General features: G+C 40.6%; 1 annotated feature.

Annotated features, from left to right (window-relative positions):
• Positions 875-1,636: an enhancer, noted in NCBI's record as "H3K27ac-H3K4me1 hESC enhancer chr10:54624105-54624866 (GRCh37/hg19 assembly coordinates)". NCBI's record gives its function as "activates a minimal SCP1, AML or CMV promoter by ChIP-STARR-seq in primed H9 embryonic stem cells {active_cell/tissue: H9 hESC(primed)}" and the evidence as "EXISTENCE:reporter gene assay evidence [ECO:0000049][PMID:30033119]".

Here is a 20,509-nt window from a genome sequence, read left to right on the forward strand (position 1 = left end):
ATAGTTTCACCATTGGTCTTTCCATCTAAAGACGATTTAATAATATATCTGAGCCTTTTACCAGCAATATCAAAGCACTGAACGCTCTTCTAGTCCAACCCTTAATAAGAACCTAACACAGGATACTGCATCACATTATCTTCCCAGTTTACTAGGACATTGGGAATTTTGAAGTTTAGTTGCCCAGGAGACTGGCTTATTTGGACTAATAGACATGAGAAACAACTTTAAAACACAAAGTAGTAAATAAGCAGTAAGTTGTCTTTTCCCTTAAACATTACCTATCTTCCTCATTGTGAATAGTTACAGTATTGTATAACTTTCAGCATTATAATTTCAAGGTTTATGAAATCTTTGAAACTCAATTTCTTTGAGTTGGGTTTGCCTTGCAACTGAAGGCATACAGAAGTACATGCCTGTAGTAATGACATTTCTCATCTTCTGTTGGCCAGTGGTTACTTCAATGGTGACTGAGAAGTCACCACAGGGCACTGTATGGCGATAGACATCACATATCCTGGTTGTCCAGATAGCCACTATTTTCATAATAAATTCATTAAATGTACAGAGTTAAATGTGATTTTTTTTTGCCTATATAACACTTTTCCTATGAGTAAACTCAGAAATCAAGGGAAAAAATCCTTTACCAGTCTATCCTGACTTTTATTTTAAAAACAGTGTCATTGCAGCAGCTAATGTGCATTTGTAAGTTCATGCTAGAGAGTAATGTCAATAGTTTGTAAGCTCATGCACAGCTCTCATTTCAGCAGCCTAAGGAAAAGAGATGGTTAAGATCCTATGAAGCTTGGAGTTAGCCTTATTTTCACTTGCTGCAATCTGGTGAAACATTTCATTTTTATTCATTTTCTTCTTCTTCCATTTTTATGCACTGGCACCCTAGTGCTATCTGGAAGTGAATTCAATGGCTCAGAAGCTGTGATTCTGTAGCTACCAAAATGTGAGAAGCTGGAGTTGTTTACAGAAGGAGCTCTCCAATGCACCCTTGGCCATTTAAACCTAAGAATTATGCAGGCAGCTTGTTAATATCTTTAAATGCTTACTGTTTCTTTGCTAAGTGACTTAGGGCTTACTCACTTCAGGAATCACAACTAGCGTGGATCCCAGGGGCAAAGCACCACATGCGGTTGTGCTCACATTCCTGAATAGCTAGACAAGGCCTGCAACAACATGCTCCTCCTCAGGGGCCGGGCTGCAGCTGTGGTGGACTGAAAGGAAGTCACACGGCATCGCCTCCCAAGGTCAGACCTGCTGCAAGAGCAAGTCAGCAGCATGGGCGACCTTTGATATCTTAGTTCCATTTTTGCTGTTGAAAGACTTGGCTTTTCATTCTGACTCTAGCCTTATGTGGTGGTGTGTCTGTAAGGCCAGTGGATCAAGCCCTTCTGTGCAGGGCCAGAGGAAAAGCAGGCCCAGGGCTGTGGTGAGAGCCGGGCAGGAGATCAGCCCTCCACATGGGTCGGAAGCATGGCTCAGAAGGACCAACTGCCCCTTCCCCTTGAGGAGCAAGTATCTGCTGATCAACGAGGCAAGGGCAGGAGCCCCGCTGGCAACAGCCAGGCTGGAAATCTGCTATCTCCACAGGAGAAGCAACATTGCTGGGGCATTGTGTTCCTGGTATCTTCTACCCAGACCACACAGGAGAGAAACACCGTGGTGGAGAAGAAAAGTGTGAACGCTGACTTCTGTGTGCCAGGAGAGCAGAAAGGCCTAGCTCTGTGCCACTGCCCTTCTCAAAGTTCACAGTGCATCCAAAGTCTCACAGGGACCAGACTGGTGCCTTGGCCCTGCTTCTGCCTGTGAATGTCCACTTCTCACCATGGTATTTTGAGACAGCTTGAGCGCTGTCTCCCAAGCAGCACGCAGTCACCACTGGCAGTGATGCAGACACGCATGAGCCAGGGAGATGGAGCTCAAGCCCAGCGCCACCTCGGACAGGGGTCCCGGCCCAGCGACTGCCTTGTGGTGTGGCTGTCCTTGTTCTGCCACAGGGAGACAGATCTCAAGGGATCACTTGCACAAGGCCTCCTGACTAAAGAGTAGAGCTGGGATTTGGACGCAACAGTCGGGCTCCAGAACTGTGATTTCAACTATGGGGTGGTTGCAGGAATGAGAAGGATTCTGTTCTAAAGCTCAGTATATGCTGTCTTATTACCTGGTTTCCCACTGAGAAAATACGTGTCTTAAGTGGAAAGTGGTATCTATTCCTCCAGCCACCTGAAAGTGCTGCATTTGTAACAGCATAGGTGCTGTAGCTTCCTAGCCATCCTGCTCTTACCCACCCCTCTGCACCGTAAAAGGCACCCACTGTTTTGTAAACACACAATTGCTTTCCAGAAAAAAAAAAAAAATTACTGTTTCTACCTATGTACTTTCTGAATCAATGAATAATTGTTATTTAATAGAATTATAATAAAGGCAAACATGATAGAGAAGAAATAACATATTTCAAGTAAAATACACAAAACTTCATCTCCAAGTAACTAGAACACTAATGCAATTCCCCATTCGTTGTACCATTTGTACCATTGTACCATCGTTCCATTTCAGGCTGGAAATCTGTTATCTCCCCAGGAGAAGCAACATTGCTGGGGCATTGTGTTCCTGGTACCTTCTACCCAGACCACACAGGAGAGAAACACCGTAGTGGAGACGCGAAGTGTGAACGCTGACTTCTGTGTGCCAGGAGAGCAGAAAATGTGTGTGCTCTAAGGCCTGTCCCAATATGAGGAAGCTACTTCAGAGTACTTTGAGATAGTACTACTTCATTTTATAAACATTTTCTGGAATTGGTTGCAGGATGGAAGTGAATCATTTCTGTATGGGACATAATTTGTAACTGTTTCTGTTATTTTCATAAAAACCTATGCTTATTCTCAACTGTAATGTTTCTAATGTTGAAAAAGAGGTGGGGCCAGGCACGGTGGCTCACATCTGTAATCCCAGCACTTTGGGAGGCCGAGGTGGGCGGATCATGAGGTCAGGAGATCAAGACCACCCTGGCTAACACAGTGAAACCCCGTCTCTACTAAAAATAGAAAAAATTAGCCAGGCGTGGTGGCGGGTGCCTGTAGTCCCAGCTACTTGGAAGGCTGAGGCAGGGGAATGGCATGAACCCGGGAGGCAGAGCAGAGATCGCACCGCTGCACTCCAGCCTGGGCAACAGAGCGAGACTCCATCCCAAAAAAAAAAAAAAAAAAAAGGAGGTAGGAAGTCACTAAAGTATTTTTGTCATTAGCGTCTCTTTTAAATAAGGCTTTTATTCTTATTATTTCAGCCCCACAGTGATCTGAAACTTGGGCAGTTTTCCATTCTAAAGCCAGCACAAAACCAACCTTTCTTCTCTCTTCCCTCTCTTCTTCTCCCCTTCCCTTGTCCCCTTGCCCTTTGCATCTCCTGATTTTCTTCTTCTCTCCCTCCCACGCTTTTCTTTTTTTCCCACCTCTCACTTCCCACTTTTTGATCTCAAACATATATTAAGCTCTTGTGTGGCAAACACGGAACAGGTTATAGAGACACAAGAACAAATAAGATGTTATCACTGACTTTGAATTGTACATAATGTAAAAAAATGTTTTCAAACTTTGACTGGGCCCATCGTAAGGAACACATTTTACCTTGCAATTCAGTACACACCTGCACACATGTATTAGTTTCCTAGGGTTGCCATCACAAAGTTCCACAAATGGGATGGCTTAAAACAAATTTGCTGCCTCACAGTTTGGGAGGCTTGAAGTTCAAAGTCAAGGTGTTGGTAGGCAATGCCATGCTCCTTCTGAAACCTTTAGGGAAGAGTCCTTCCTTGGATCTTCCCAGCTTCTGGTGGTTTGCTGCCTATCCTTGTCATTCTTTGGCTTCCATCTATAGCATTTCAGTCTCTGCCTTGGTCATCACATGGCATTCTCCCCTCCTGTGTCTTTCTGTGTCTGTGCCTTGTCTCTTTTTATAAGGGCACCAGGCATATTAAATTAAAGGCCTACCTTACTCCAGTATAACCACATTTTAACTTCACTAGTCACATCAGTCATGATCCTATTTTCAAATAAGAGCACATTCTGAGTAAAGGATTTGATGTGGTTGGGCTCTGTCCCCACCCAAAATCTAATCTTGAACTGTAATCCCCATAATCCCCATGTGTCAAGGGTGGGACCAGATGGAGGTAATGGAATCATAGGGGCGCTTTCCTCCTTGCTGTTCTTGTGATAGTGAGTATCACGAGATCTGATGGTTGTATAAGTGTCTGCCATTTCCCCTGCTTGCACTCACTCCTTCCTGCCACCCTGTGAACAAGGTTCCTGCTTCTCCTTTGCCTTCTGCCATGATTGTAAGTTTCCTGAGGCCTCCCAAGCTCTACAGAACTGTGAGTCAATTAAAGCTCTTTCCTTTATAGATTACCCAGTATTAGTTATTCCTTCATAGCAGTATGAGAATGAATTAATACAGTAATTGGTACCAAGGTAGTGGGGCACTGCTGTAAAGATACCTGAAAATGTGGAAGTGACTTTGGAACTTATTAACAGGTAGAGGTTGGGAACAGTTTGGAGGGATCAGAAGAAGATAGAAATATGTGGGAAAGTGTGGAACTTCCTGGAGACTTAATGGCTTTGACCAAAATGCTGATAGTAATGTGGACAATTAATTCCAGGTTGAGGTGTGTCAGATGGAGATGAGGAACTTGTTGGATACTGGAGTAAAAGTCACTCTTGCTATGCTTTAGCAAAGAGACTGGCAGCATTTTGCCCTTGCCCTAGAGATCTGTGGAACTTTGAACTTGAGAGAGTTGATTTAGGGTATCTGGCTTCAAGAGGAAGCAGAGCATAAAAGTTTGGAAAATTTGCAGCCTGACGATGTGATAGAAAAGAAAAACCCATTTTCTGGGGAGAAATTCAAGCCAGCTGCAGAAATTTGCATAAGTAACAAGGAGCCGAATATTAATCACCAAGACAATGGGGAAAATGTCTCCAGGGCATGTTAGAGACCTTCAGAGCAGCCCCTCCCATCACCGGCCTGGAGGCTTAAGAGGGAAAAATGGTTTTGTGGGCTGGGCCCAAGACCCCCACTGCTGCTCTGTGTAGCCTCAGGACTTGGTGCCCTGCATTCCAGCTGTGGCTAAAAGAGGCCAATGGACAGCTTGGGCCATTGCTTCAGAGGGTGTAAGCCCCAAGCCTTGGTGGTTTGCATGTGGTACTGGGCCTGCAGGTACACAGAAGTCAGAAATTCAGGTTTGAGAACCTCCACTCAGATTTCAGAAGATATATGGAAGTGCCCGGATTTCCAGGCAGAAGTTTGCTGCAGGGATGGAGCCCTCATGGAGGATGTCTGCTACGGCAATGTAGAAGGGAAATGTGGGGTTGGAGCCCCACACAGAGTCCCCATTGTGGCACTTCCTAGTGGAGCTATGAGAAGAGGGACACCATCCTCCAGACCCCAGAATGGTGGATCTGACAGCTTGCAACATGCACCTGGAAAAGATGCAGGCACTCAATACCAGCCTGTGAAAGCAGTCAGGAGTGGGGCTGTACCCTGAAAAGCCACAGGGGCAGAGCTGCCCAATACTGTGGGGACCCACCTCTTGCATCAGCAAGACCTGGATGTGAGACATGAAGAGTCAAAGGACATCATTATGGAACTTTAATGTTTAATGACTGCCCTATTGGATTTAGGACTTGCATGGGTCCTGTAGCTTCTTTATTTTGGCCAGTTTCTCCCATTTGGAACAGGTGTATTTACCCAATGCCTGTACCCCCATTCTATATGTGAAGTAACTATCTTGTTTTCGATTTTACAGGCTCATAGGCAGAAAGACTTGCCTTGTCTCAGATGAAATTTTGGACGTGGACTTTCAGGTTAATTCTGGAATGAGCTAAGACTTTGGAGGACTGTTGAAAAGGATGGTTGTGTTTTAAAATGTGAGTACACGAGATTTGGGAGGGGTGATGGGTGGAATGATATGGTTTGGCAGTGTCCTCACCCAAAATCTCACCTTGAATTGTAATCCCCATAATCCCCACATGTCAAGAGCAGGACCAAGTGGAGGTAATCAGATAATGGGGCCAGTTCCACCATGCTGTTCTCGTGATAGTAAGTGAGTCTCACAAGATCTGATGGTTTTATAAGTGTCTGACGTTTCCCTTGCTTGTACTGACTTCGTTCTGCTGCGCCGTGAAGAAAGTTCCTCCTCTTCTTTGCCTTCTGCCATGATTGTAAGTTTCCTGAAGCCTCCCCAGCAATGCAGAACTGTGAGTCAACTAAACCTCTTCCCTTTATAAATTACCCAGTCTTGGATATTTCTTCATAGCAGTGTGAGAATGGACTAATATGGGATTTAATATATATTTTGGGGGAAACACAGTCCAACCCATAATAACACACAAACATGTATGCACAGTGAAATAATAGTTCCATGAATCATCATTCATTTTTAACTGCGTGATTTTTCTACTCCCTTTTACTATGGTAAAGACTGGTTTTGACCCCTCTAAGTTGATTTCGCCACCCACTAATAGATACAACCCCCAGCTGGAAAAACTCTGTTCTAGAAAGGGAGATAGGCATGCAGAGGAATACTTACCATATAATATTATGGATGCTAAGAGAAGAATGCATAACATGAATATTCTAGCATGGGGAAAACTTTGTTTATGCAAGTAATGTAAATCTACATAAGAGGTGACATTGGTTGAGTCTCAAAAGATAAATAGGAGTCACCAGTGGTGGAAATGGGGGCTTGGCAGAAATATAAAGAAAGATGATGAATGTAGGTATGTAGGGATGATTTGATGCTTGGAGGATAAATAGGAGTTGATGGAAAAAATGAGGTCAGTTTACAATAGGTCTTACATACTATGCTAAAAAGTTTGGCTTTTATTCTGTAATAATGAAGAATTATGGACAATAATAATAGAATGGTTAAGAACATGGGTGCGAATTACTTGGGTTTAAATCCCAATATGATCTTTGAGTAAGTAACTTCTTTCTTTGCCTTGGTTTTCTGACATATAACTGAGAATGCCACCTGCTTCATTGAGTTGTAGAAGTAAGTGAGCCATTATCTGAAAAAAAAAATTGTTCCTCATCTACAGTGGGCCCACACTTAGGGTTAGTTATTGCTTTTGTAATTTGTTTTGAAGGCTTTTAAGCAAGGGAATTAAAGAAGGTGAGCAAGTGTGATTGGAGAGTTTGAAGATCATTTCAGATAAGTACATAGACTAAGGCCATTAGGTGAGAAATAAAAATAATCAACCAGTGCTATACAACAGTTCCAAAGTCCACCCTTCATAAATATTTCGTTCTGCTCCCCCGACTTCCAGGATGACTGGAATAACTGGTTGTTTAGGTATCTTGTAGATAAGGTCAGTCAAGTCTCTCTCTCTGGACAGTTCTATTCACAAGAATATATTTGTCACCATTTTTATAGTTCAAGTCCGAAAATGAGGGCATTACCTTTCTACTTTATGAAAATACTCCCCAAAGGCAGTCCTTGGGGATTTGTAAATACTCTTGGAGCTTCAAAACTTAATTTTTAAAATAAGCCGTTTCAAATGGACAAATTAAAATGATCTGCCATTATTATGTCATTATGTCATTCTATTTTGTATGATAAACTGAATGTAATGTATTTTACATAATATAATGAAACAGTTCAAAATATTTAGCTAAGACTTTGCTCAAAGTCAAAAATATTTTGTTAAAGTTTTTTCACCATTTTGGGTTAATGTTGGCACTGGATCCAAAAGTTTATCATAATTAGACGTTTTCTTTTTTTCAACAACCTTCATTTTGTCTTTAGCCCACTCGGCTTGGCTTTAATGAGAGCTGACAACTCTAAGGTCATATTAGTAGTGGTTACTGCAGCTGCACTGGGTGTGGTGAATGTATCTGTGAAGAAATCTGTGTCTCAACCCCACTCGGGGCAGCTGCCTTCAAATGGAGCCAAGATTGGAGCCAGCCAAATGAACCACAGCGACGAATCGGTATCAAAGGGAAAGGTAGAGGAAATCCTATCTCGGGAACCCAGGGATCAGCCCAGCCCGACAAGGGCCTCGTGAGCGGGCAAGGGAGCAGTCCCGCTGCAGGAACTGCCTCGGAACCCGGGTTTCCTAAAGCAGCGCAAAGCCCTCCGTATACCCACGCGCTGGCGTGAGCATGCCCACTCCTGCTGCGCAACGCTGGGAGGCGCCCATTTCTCCTCTGTCCTCTGGAGGTCGCAAGGCTGTAGGGCTGGGTGATGCACTGACGGAGCAGCAAAGATTCTGCAAACGATTGTGTTGTGCTTTGGCTAAAGGCAGCCCTGAGGATTATAGCAGTGAAGGTCACTTGCAAATATAGTTCCTGGCTCCAGGTCTGAAGAAATTTTACTTTCAGGGCTTGAAAACTAAGGTTCAGAGAACTCACCAGGCAATATGAAGATTTTGTAGACAGCTGCCCTGGCAGAGAGAAGGGGACTAGTTGTCAGCAGACCTTGGCAAGAGCCCAGCAAAGCGGAGCTATGGTGGGAGGGGGAAACAAGGCGGTTATTGGGGAGCTGGACTTTCATGTTACATAAAACAGCCCTACATGTTAATACAACTTCTGTATATGAAAACAACTGTGAACCAGCATAAAAGGATTTTTGTTTTTGTTACGATCTCCTTTCTCAGTGATTGCAAAGAGAAGTGCCCCCATTTAGTCCCCTAACACTTTCCAGGGGTTTTGTAAACTAAGCTTTACTTCTTCGAGATTTCCATGGATTCTTAAAGCACACCATTACTGACAGCAACCATATACAATAATACCTACCTGAAGTTTAGTCACTGGTATAGCAGGATACATTTTCTGATTTATATACAAAACACATAGGGAAAGACAAAACGATTTTAGGTTCTTGAACTTTAAAAAATAACTTTTGTTTCATTTTATCACAAACTAATTTATATCTTTTACCGAAAACTTAGAAAACACAGAAAGACAAACTGAAGACAAATAAACATCATTATAACCCTACTGTTCTGAGATAACCAAAATGTAATTTGTATGTTCTTTGGTGGCAGGAACCATACATTGTTTACTTCTGAATTTTCACAGTGTTCAGAGCCGTCACATAGATGAAGTCATTGGTTTTTTAGAGGCCAAGGGAAAACTTCCCCTTTGCCCTCTGAAGGTTTGCTCAAACATCGACTCACAAAAGACAGAAATGGCATACAAAATTATTAGCATGCACAGGGGAGGAGCACAGAGTATATATCCCAATGGATTACAGATAATTATATATCCTTTTCCTTAGGGGAAAAGGAGATGGAGAAGTATGGATGATTTGACGGAGCATAATAAATTATCTTTAGGAGAATTCAATGGGCTTCAATAACATACAATGGCCTGGGACAAAGTCTGTTGGGCCCTTAGAGCAGACAGTGATTTGTGACAAAAGTCTGTCCAAGTGTGTTGACAGATTTCAGTCTTTCTTTCTGCAAGATGAGTTCAGTTAATAAAAGCTTAGAAAAGGAGCCCAAGGTAACTGTTTTCTTCTTTGGCATGTCTGAAATTTGGGCAGATGAAGAAACTTCAGAGAACAACTTATATTCTGTGCTTTGGAAATGACAAAGGATTGATAGACAGGAGGAGCAGGGCAAGGTCAGAGACCTAAAACCTTCTTCTTCAGTTCTCATGTCAAAGTGCTAGATTTTGGGATAATGGTTTCTGAGCTCCCACAGTTTCAACCTTGATGGAGCATCTGTGATATCTGTAGAATGAAAAATAAGTACATAAACAAAATGCCTACGCCTGTGCTCTACCTCAAACTTACTGCCTCAGATTGTTTTAGTGGTGGCTAGATCGTAGTATTGCAAAGAAACTCCACGGTGATTTTGTCACAGTTGCCAAGTAATAGATTTAATACTGAAAAACAGTTTTTAAATCAAATGAAATGTTTTGGGTTTTGTTGTAAAATAAAAGCGGGCATACAAACAAGACGTAGTTATCTTTTTCCCCAACTGCTGACTTTGCTCACATTCCTTAATGCCTCAAGCCAGCAGGGAGCTACCATGCATGTTTGAAAATAAGTGTTTCACATCTTGAAGGTTTAACTTCAATCTTGTTGAACAAGGCCTGGCCCATAATTTTACTTAATCACTCCATGCCTAATTTTTAAGGTTGGCTATTCTGTGTGCCACTTAATCAAACATCTAATAGCAATCTTCAAATATCATTATATAGTTTGAACTTGACTCCACCCTTGCTTCAATTGGAAGCATGATTTTTTAAATTCTTTTAAATTTGAAAACACTTAGAACACATCTTTTGGCTTCGTTTTAGTTTACCATTAAGTTAGTTCTGGTTTTGATTTTGGCTTTTCTCAATTTCTTCCTCTTTGAAACAGGCCGACACTCTGGCCTTTGCCCACAAGGGGATCTTAGAACTCAGAGACCAGATAATACAATTTAGTTGAAGTCCCCTAAGATTTTTCTCTTCACTTTGGAGTCCTTCTTTTCTTATTTAAAATTCTGTATACAAGTCTATTGTGCACACTTTATTCATCCACTCCACAAATACTGATGGAACACTCATTATGTCCCTGGTACTGTTAGAGGTTCTGGGGATTCAAGAACGAATAAAACATACAAAGATCCAGCAATCTAGTAGATTTTACAATCTAGTGGGAGGGGACTGAAAATAAAGCAGTGACTATGTAATATGTCAGGTATTAATTCATGCCATAAGAAACAATTAAGCTGCTTATGAAGTGTCTATTTTGCATAGAGTGGAAAGAGAAAGTTCTCTTGAGAAGTAGCGGATGGCTATTTCATATAGGAAGGATAGAGAAGGCTTCTCTTTCATCAGAGAATCTAAGGCAGCGGGGAGCAAGCCATGAATATGTCTGGGGAAAAGAATGTTCCAGGCTGAGGCCACAATAGATTAAAAACCCTTTGGATCATATATGGATAAAGAAGAGGCCAGAGTGGCTGGGGCACAATAATGAAAGTCACAGAGGCAGGAGATAAGGTCAGAGAGATAGTGCAGGGGATAGGCAAGATCATGTAGAGACTTGTAGGCAAAGTAAAAATGTGGGATTACGTCTGAGCTAAGAAGCTATTGAAAGAGATTGGAAGAAATAGTGACATAATCTGACATATTTTTAAAAGATCACACTGAACACTGGGAGGAAATAAGAGTGGGGGCTGTTGCAAATATCTCACTGAGGAGAAAGGTGGCTAGGATACGGTTAGTAGTAGCGGAGGTGGTAAAAACATTGTCAGCTTTTGATGGTAGAGCCAACAGGATTTGCTGAGGACTAGATGAGGTATGACAGAAAAAGAGGAGTGAATGTGACTCTGAGGTTTTTGGCTTGCATAACTGACAGTGGAGTTCTCACTTACTGCAATGGGTAAGAAAGTGCAAGAAGCTTTTTGGATGTAAGTGAAATTAAGGGTGCGATTTTAGACGCATTAAATTTGAGATGCCTGTTAGATATCTAAATGGTGATAAAAACAGGCAGATGGGTACAAGAAGTTGAGTTCAAGGGAGAGGTTGGGACAGGAGTTATAAATTTGGGGATTGTCGGCTTTAAAATGATGTATCTGTCAGGACTGGATTTGGTTGCAAATGCCAGAATACCAAAACTACATTTGTTTTTTTTTGAGACAGATTCTCACTCTGTCATTCAGGCTGGAGTGCAGTGGCACCATCTAGGCTCACTGTAACCTCGGCCTCCTGGGTTCAAGCGATTCTCATGCCTCAGCCACCTGAGTATCTGGGATTACAGGCATGTACCACCATGCCTGGCTAATTTTTGTACTTTTAGTAGAGATGGGGTTTTGCCATGTTGCCCAGGCTGGTCTCAAATTCTTGGCCTCAAGTGATACTCCCACCTCGGCTTCCCATTGTTTTAAATGAACTAGGAATTTATATCTCTTTCATGTAAAAAGTCTGAAGGTGAGCAGTTCACAAGTATAACTCCACAATCATCAGGGAACTAGACTTTTTCTACCTTATTGCTCTGCTATCAGTATGTGACTTTGATCTTATGGTAAAATGTGGCTGCCTGACCTCCAGCTATTCTGTCTCCATTCATGCCAGCAGGCAGAGAAAAGAACGAAGAGAATGTGTTCCCTCCTGTTAAGAACTCTATCTAAAAGCCGCATGTGACATTTCTGATTACAGCCCACTGGGCAGAACTTAGTTATTTGGACACACCTAAATGCAACAGAAGTGCACTCTTTATTCAGGAAATCCATATACTAACTAAAATTTGGGGTCTTTCTTACCATTGAAGATAAACTAAAGTACTTTGTCACAAATGATATTTAAGTCAGCACTGGATAGATTACTTAAATATAGAGAAAGGGAAAAAAAAGATTAGCTCGTATTTACCTAAAGGCATAGGTACTTCTATGTTCTCAGTCTTCTGGCAAGGGCCAAACCTGTGTCTTGCTCTATTTATCTCCGTTAACTATTACTGTGGAATAAATTACTCCAAAGCAAAATGACATAATAACAATATTGTTATTACTTATACATCAATGGGTTTATAAGAGTTCAGCTGAATAATGTTTCTATTAATTTCTTTGAGGTTCGTATGAGGCTGCATTGGTTGGAAAGTGCAATATTGCCTCACTTACATTTCTAGTGCCTTGGTGGAGATGGCTGGAAGTCTAGGCTCAGCTGGGGTGTTAGGATGGCTGAGGCACTCTCTCCATGAAATTTCAGGGCCTCTCTCTCTCTACATAGCCTCTGTCTGTTGTTTCTCCATGTGGTCTCTCCAGCAGAGTAGCCTGGCTTATTACATGCTAGTTCAAGGCTCATAAGAGCATAAAAGCTACATGGACTTCTTAAGTCTTAGCTCCAAAACTGGCAGAATGCCACTTCTGCTGCATACCCTTGGAAAAGTACCCCAGAGCCAAATTTTTGGGAGAGAGACTTTCACAACAGCATGAATACCAGGAGGTAGGGCTCATTAGGGCTATTTTTGAAGATTAGCTACCATGTGTTCTAATGAACAAAAATGTGATATGCCTGCATCATCTAGAAAGCAGGTTGAAGATATTATTTTTCACAAGTGCAAAACCACAGTACCCTCACTATCATTGCTTGGACTCCTGGTCACTGTAGCAACGCTCTAATGGAGATCCACAGAAAATCCATCAAAAGGGACCTGAATGCCAAGGTGCTGTCATGTGAATTAGGTCAAATGAACATTTGAATGCATCCCATGTGCTAGGTGCTATGTTGAGAACTTTAACAAATATTATCAGATTAAGTTCTCACTAGAGCACCATGAAAAAATTATTATCTGCATTTCACACATGAGGTTGAGCAAATTGTCCAAGGTTACCCATTCTACTTTATGATAGAGCTGTGGGATTTAGTGCCTGTCATTCTCTCACACTTGACCTGCTACCTGTGTTAACTCACTTTGCATTTCATGCCTCTGTGGTTTTAAAAATGATGTTCCAGCAGGAACACCTGCTTCTCCTGTGGTTGCCTAGGCATTTATTTTCTAAATGAATTCAGGAGATCATCTTAGAAGCCTTCCCTGACCACCTCTTTCTTACCTGCTGATGTCTTTAGCCCTCTCTGTCTTTCTTAGGTGCTTTATGTACTCTTCTAACTGTGACTCAAAAAAGTATAATTCCAGTTATAATGTTTGTCTTTCTAATTGACTATGACCTCCAGTGAGGGCACAGACATTACAAAAAACTCATTTTGCCCCAAGAAACAGCCCAGTGCCTGGCAGTTAGTGATTTTGTTGATTAAAGATAAAATAGATGAAGGCATAATCTCTGCCTTTAGAGTAAGTCGTAAACTTCTGGGGCCAGGCAGGTAACATCAACATAGACAATATGAGCATAAACGGTAGAGAATGGAGGAGCATGGGGAGAATTCTATGGTGACTGCGGAAAGTTTGGCTCCACCTAAAGATATTCAAAATCAAATGTTTAGTTAAACAATAAACAACTTTTTAAAAAAGTATACAAACCAGAATAGTCTTGTGGCATGTGTTTTTCCACCTTTTCCTTAGAGACTTTATACAATAATGGGGACAAATTCTAAGGGAAATCTGCAAGAACTGGAGTAAATAGGAAGAGGTTTATCCATAGAGCTCCCACACTCTGCAGTGCACTAAAAGCACACAGCAGATTAATTATTTGGCTGGGCCACAGGCCATATCTTTAAGTAGCTTCTGTGGTAACAAGCACCTTCCCCTTCTTTATTTGGCACGTTCTTTATTCAGTGTCTGCGTAGTGCCCCACAGCAATGCATGAGTTGGCACATCTTCCAAAGACGTTTTTTGTGCCTGTAAATATTTTAAGAATTGAACTGCTCCTTTATACCAAAGGCTATCTGTGCTCTATTTAATACCCGTGATGGGGCCCTGATTCAATTCAGCTATATATAACAAGTTATTATTATTATTATTTTAATTACAATCAGATATATTAATTGGTTTATGGATGCAGAGCAGTTCTTCAAGGAGGCTACTTTATTTTTATGTGTTACAATTCTCATTCTGTGAGTGAATACTGCCCAATTAATCCTTGTGAGTTTTGGCCAATGAAACAGCTGGAGCCCAACTTAGAAGTCAGAGTAGTAGGCTTAAGCTGTCATGTTTATTTATTTATGAGAATTCAGTCAGTAGTGTTTTCATCATACTATCAAAATTTTAATGTACTCCTTTGAATTATATATTTAAAATTTTTAAGAGCCTAATTTTATTTAGGGAGCAAAGTTCAGTGGAGGTCAATCCAGAGAGGGGTTGCAGGTAGTTGTCAACTCTGCTTGTTTCACTGGAAGTTGTAAATTAATATCAACTAATTAAGGCAATGGCGCCCTTTCTAGAATTTTGTTTGTCAGCTATGATTTTAGCAATTCCATTGTGCTCATTGTTTCATGGTTACATTCACATTTGTACTCCTATAAATGGCATAAAGCCTTCTTAACCTAATGAATTTTATATTCTTTTAGGAGGAAGTAAATGGAATTTTTTATGGAAAAAATTAAATTTAAGTTAAGCCAGGGCTCTACAGATCAAAACCAATTTTCAGATATTATGGTCTGAAAACCAGACTCTACTTTCACTGATCTGGTGGAATTATGTGATTTATCAGGTTACTGTTGTTTTATCAATGAGAGCAGATTCCAACCATTTATACACACTGGTGACTCTAGAATACTAATCTCAAAGATGACCTTGGTAATAGAAGTTTCTGTTTCTAAAAACACATCCCAGACTTCACTTGGCACTGTGGAGGTTTCACATCAAATAGCCGAATTTGGGAAGGAATGAGTCGAAAACTTCCAAGCATAACAGAAAAATGTTAGCCCTTATTGAAATTCTTAAGGGAAAGCAAATTACAGACCACCTTTCCTTTTTTAGGAAGGTTGATAATATATTCATAATGGAAATGGAATGGCATGGACTTAACTAAAATTAAGAAAAGTCTCCCTTCCTCATAAATTTAGGAATTATGCCCTTAATTGTAAATTATGACTAGCTAACTCAACAGAGGTATTATTTTATTAATGAATTGTTTAGGGATTGTTTAAAAAAAATTTTTTTTTGATGTGTACATGTGTGCATATCTGCATGGTTATGTACCTTGGGAGGGCTGGGCATGGATTCCAGAGTGGTCAGTGAAGCAGAAGCAAAGAGATGCTGGTCTATCACGGGGTCTCACTTGGGACATACTTGTCCCAGGCCAATGAACTGGTAAACCACTGGCATGTTTGAACACTGATGATAACACCCTGCAGGTAGAGCTAGCCAGATGGACACACTCAATTACTATCACACCATTGCTCATTTATCCTTAGAGTTTTTATCTCTATTTCAAAGAGCTACTCCTGACAATCCATGTGGTTTAGTTTAGAAGACTATTTATAACATTCCTGGTGCTTGAACAGGACATCAATGTGATCACATTCTTATAGCTCAGGGAGAGAAAGCAGAGTCAATGTCTAGGTATCTGTGAATAATGTGTTTGTCTTCAGCTCTCCAGGCTTCTGCAAAGCCCATTTTTCTGCAAGCACTTACATATCTGTTATAAGTACATTTTGGTTCCACTATCCTATTAGCCTTGGAATTCACTGACAACAAATAGAAAAATATGAAAATGACTCATGTAAGCTGTGAACTACTCAAGAGTCATAAATTTAAATTTAAGTTAAACTTAAGACGGGAAGATTGCCTCTTAAATGGTAAATAAAACCTATTTTAACATGGTGTTTTCTAAAAAGTAGATTTTGCTTTAATATCTTGATAAATAAATGCCAGTCTCAGAGTTGAGCCAGACTACTTCTAAACTCTGATCTTATTAGTTTGGGGAGCAATTGGCCCAGCATCATACAGAAGTTTCACAAGGCTCATAAAATAACCTCTTCCCTGAGCCTCTGGCATCCAGGCATTCAAGTGCATGCAACTTTGTAATATTTTCACAGCAGGATCCTGCAGGCTTTGAGTGATGTTGCCATTTTCTGGAGTTCTCAGCAGTGCAGCTCTTCTACCCAGTTGCAAACAATTTCACTGATCAGTAGCTCTGGCTTAGCTTCACCCTCATAAATTTAATAATTCATTTGGCAGGTGCAAAGCAGACAGATCTCAAAAAAATGTGCAGATTCTTGGAAGAGCCAGGAAAAAGACTCACCAATTCTTTAGTTCCTTTTGGATCTCAACATTTAATATTGTTTTTAGTTCCAGCATGTTCAGCCACCAGGGATGTATTTTTTAATTCTTTAAATGGTATTCTTCTTTCTTCTGTAAAATGACTTCTATCTGTGGAATCCATATAAAAGCCATGGATATCAATAGGTTGCTAAATGTGGCCATGGAGCTGGGCCAGTGAAGCATGGGAACAGAGCATCAACTTAGTGTCTGTCTGGCACATTGCTGCAGGCACATCCAACTGTGATCATACAGAGACGTGTGTGTGTGTGTGTGTGTGTGTGTGTGTGTGTGTGTGTGTGTAGCCACACAGGGCCAGACTGTCTGGCCCAAATTCCAGCTCTGCTACTTACCAGCCGGGTAAGTAATCTTGGGTATGTTTTTAAGCCTCCTCGAGTCTCATCTTTAATTTGCAGAAACTGACCATCTCTCATTGTATGTGAGGAATGAACAAGTTAATACATGTAAATAGTTTTTTTTTTAACATGCCAGGCATACAAGAAGTTCTCAATAAATATAAACTCTTATCATTATAATTGTTATCTTCACTCTCATGAAGAGATCTGGCTATCATCTATAATTTTTTCCTATATTGCTAACAAATTGCTCTTTCTGTCTTTTTCTTGAACAGGTAAGATAGTCATATGGTAAAAACTCACATAAAAATAAAATATATACAATGAGAAGTACATCTTTTTTCATCTCTACCTCTTGCCTCCCATTTGGCTTCCCAGAGATAACCATGGTTCCATCTCTTAGATATCTTTCAGAGATATCCCATATGGTGAAATATATTTACTTAAATCCCCCACTTACAATTTTGAATTATCTTTTGAATACAAATAGAAGATAATTTTCCTTAAGGAAAAATTTTGTCTCATTAGTATCATTACCAGTGAAAATAATAGTAATCATAATGTGAATAATGACAGCTGTCTTTGCTGTGTAGCAAGAACTCTGCTAAATTCCAAACTGACAGAACCTTACTCAGTGCCTACAACTGCCCTCTGAGATGAATATTATTATCTCCCCCACTCGACGCATGAAGATACCGTGGTCAAGAGAGGCTAAGCCACTCTCTGAAGGTCACTCAGCTAACAGGTGGCTGTGCTGAATTTCGAACCCTGTGCACTTGAGACTCAAGAAAGTTTTCAGTAGAAGAAAGACATCTCCCAATCTTGGGTTTCTCTTTTGGAAACGCTTCATGAATCCTCACTTTGATTTTTATTCCCCTTTAAATGCCTTGGCCTGGGAGAAAGCATTCACAATTTGGACTCTTCACATGTCCCCCACTTCAGTTCATCCTGCCTTTGTAAAATTCTGCCTGTACCACGCCTGTAGTAGTTGGCATTATTCCCATAACTGATCACATTTAGCCCTGTTCATCTTTGGGTTTTTGGGTATGAGAACAGTCTGAGTTCCTAGAAGGCAGGGGCTATGTCTCCATTTCCTTGTCGCTAGGGTGGAAGACATTTCCTGGCTCATACTTTGCGCTGAGGAAGCGTTGAATGAATGAACAAATGGGTACAGGCAGTGTTTGACTATAAAGGGGACTTTGGAAATCAATTAGATTCATTGGATGTGGGCCCTGGAAGGCAACTTCAAATTCCCTGGTGGTAGAGAATCTTAAAATGTAAAATGAACAATTCTGGCCTTCAGCAAATCTCAGAGACCTAATTGTCTAGATATAATTAATTCCAAGGCATCCTGGTGAGGTAATGGCATGTGCATGCGAGGGCATCTTTTTTGAGCCAAAAATTTCTTCTAACGTGTCATGGGACAGTCCTCAGAAAGACTGAGGAGAAGGTGCTAAAAATTGTCATGCTTACTTTGATTTGTAGTGTCCTTGGGTTGTTTTGTCTTTGACCACTTACAAACTGATCTCACTGGGCAAACTGAGTCAGAGCAGCTTTTTAGATGTGTTAATACAATTTGTTTGTTTTTGAGGAAGAGGCTTAAGTATTCAGAACTAGAGGAAAGATAGAGATGGTTAGAGTTGGAAGGAGTTTAAATGAGTCCAGAAATAAATTAACAAAACAAGGCAAAACAATGGAACAGAAGAGAAGTTATGTTCAGCCACTGACCCCTATTTCCTCTCTAATTGCTTATCAGCTTTAGCGAAGCCCTTTTGTACTCAAGGAAGCCCCTTGGTACTCTCACAGTCCTTTCTTTTTCTCAGTGAGATCTCGCCCTCAGAAAACTGCTTGTAAATTTCTATAATGCTAAAGTGTAACTGACTATGTGTTGCAAGGGCAAATACAAATTATAAGTAAGATTCTTAATTCTCCCTGTTGAAAATAAAGAGACTTCCCTCCCTTTTCCTAGACCACTTACTTTAGAAAACTTATACTGTATGTATAAGTTCTTTCTCTTTTTGAAATGTATGTAAATCTTTTTAAAAGCAAAATAAGCCACTTGGCAAAATAGTCTTTCTCAAGGACCTAGGAACCGTGTCTTTCAAATGTAATCAATGAAGGTAGGTAGCACCATATCTCCCAGTTTCCGTGGGAGGGTAGGAACCCAACTTTGGTGAGCACCTTAATTCAAGTTACAAAACTATCTTCTTCCATAAAGATATGAGAAGCTTATTTTTTCTTTTGTACAAATCAATTAATTAACACAGGTAGATACCACAATTACCAGGGGATTTTAAGATGAACTATGTGTGAAAAATGGTGCCGTCAAGTCCTCTTACTTGAGGACTAGTTATTTTTTACCTTGAGGGCACGTGTAGAATGGGTTTATCGGCTTGGCTATATCAAAGCGTAAGATTTCATTCTGTCTTTGCAAATTCTTAGCAGACTATTTGTGATACGCATCACATTCTGGTTTAATGCTTATTCAATAACAAAATTGTTTTCTTCCTCTTCTAAGTTTGTGAAGAAGTTTTTTGGGTTGGGATGAGATTTTGTTTTTAATTATATTTTCCAATATAATATACTTTAGGTTCAGAGACATTTGTATTTTAACTGGTGCCAAACCTTTAAGATTAAAACACTGAATTGCTATAAACTTCCAAGAACCAGTGAACTAAAATGGGAGGTTTATCAGGAAGTCTGGGAAGAGACATGTGTTAAAGAAAAACTTAAAGCAAGTTAAATTTAACAGAGTTTATTTGAGCAATGAAAAGGCTCTAAAACAGGCAGCACTTCAGATGGAAGATGGTTCAGAATGGTGAGCTGTATTTATAAAAAGAAAGAGACAGGAAATTACTTATTACAGAGATTACCTGATTGTTGCAATTCTGCATTTGCCTTATTTGTGAGGAATTTGGCAACGTTCAACCTGGGATTGGCTACTATGGATTGAGACTCCATTGCTTGGTTACAAAGGCATACTCTTAGGTTAGGTTAGAACTTGCTTTCACGCCAAGCTGTGCTGCAGTTCACTACATAGAGAGAAACTTTGGCCCAAATTTTATTAACCAAATATGGAAGGTGCTTTGAGCTAAACTTAAATAAGTTTAACATATGATTCAGGGCCAGGTGTGGTGGCTCACGCCTGTAATCCAAGCACTTTGGGAAGCCAAGAGTTCGAGACCAGCCTGGCCAACATGGCAAATCCCCATCTCTACTAAAAACACAAAAATTAGCTGGGCATTGTGAAGGGGGCCTGGCTAAGGCAGGAGAATCGCTTGAACCCAAGAGGCAGAGGTTGCAGTGAGCTGAGATAGTGCCACTGCACTCCAGCCTGGGCAACACAGTGAGACTCCATCTCAAAATATATGTAAATAAATATAAATATAAATATAAATATATATATGATTCAGGAATACCTGAAGTTCTACACATTAACCAGTCTCTTGGGAGTGAGGAGCACTTTTCTTGGAAGGAAATAGCTGCCCTCCAGTATTTGGTA

This window comes from Homo sapiens, chromosome 10 (assembly GCF_000001405.40).
Source record: "Homo sapiens chromosome 10, GRCh38.p14 Primary Assembly".
NCBI lineage: Eukaryota > Metazoa > Chordata > Mammalia > Primates > Hominidae > Homo > Homo sapiens.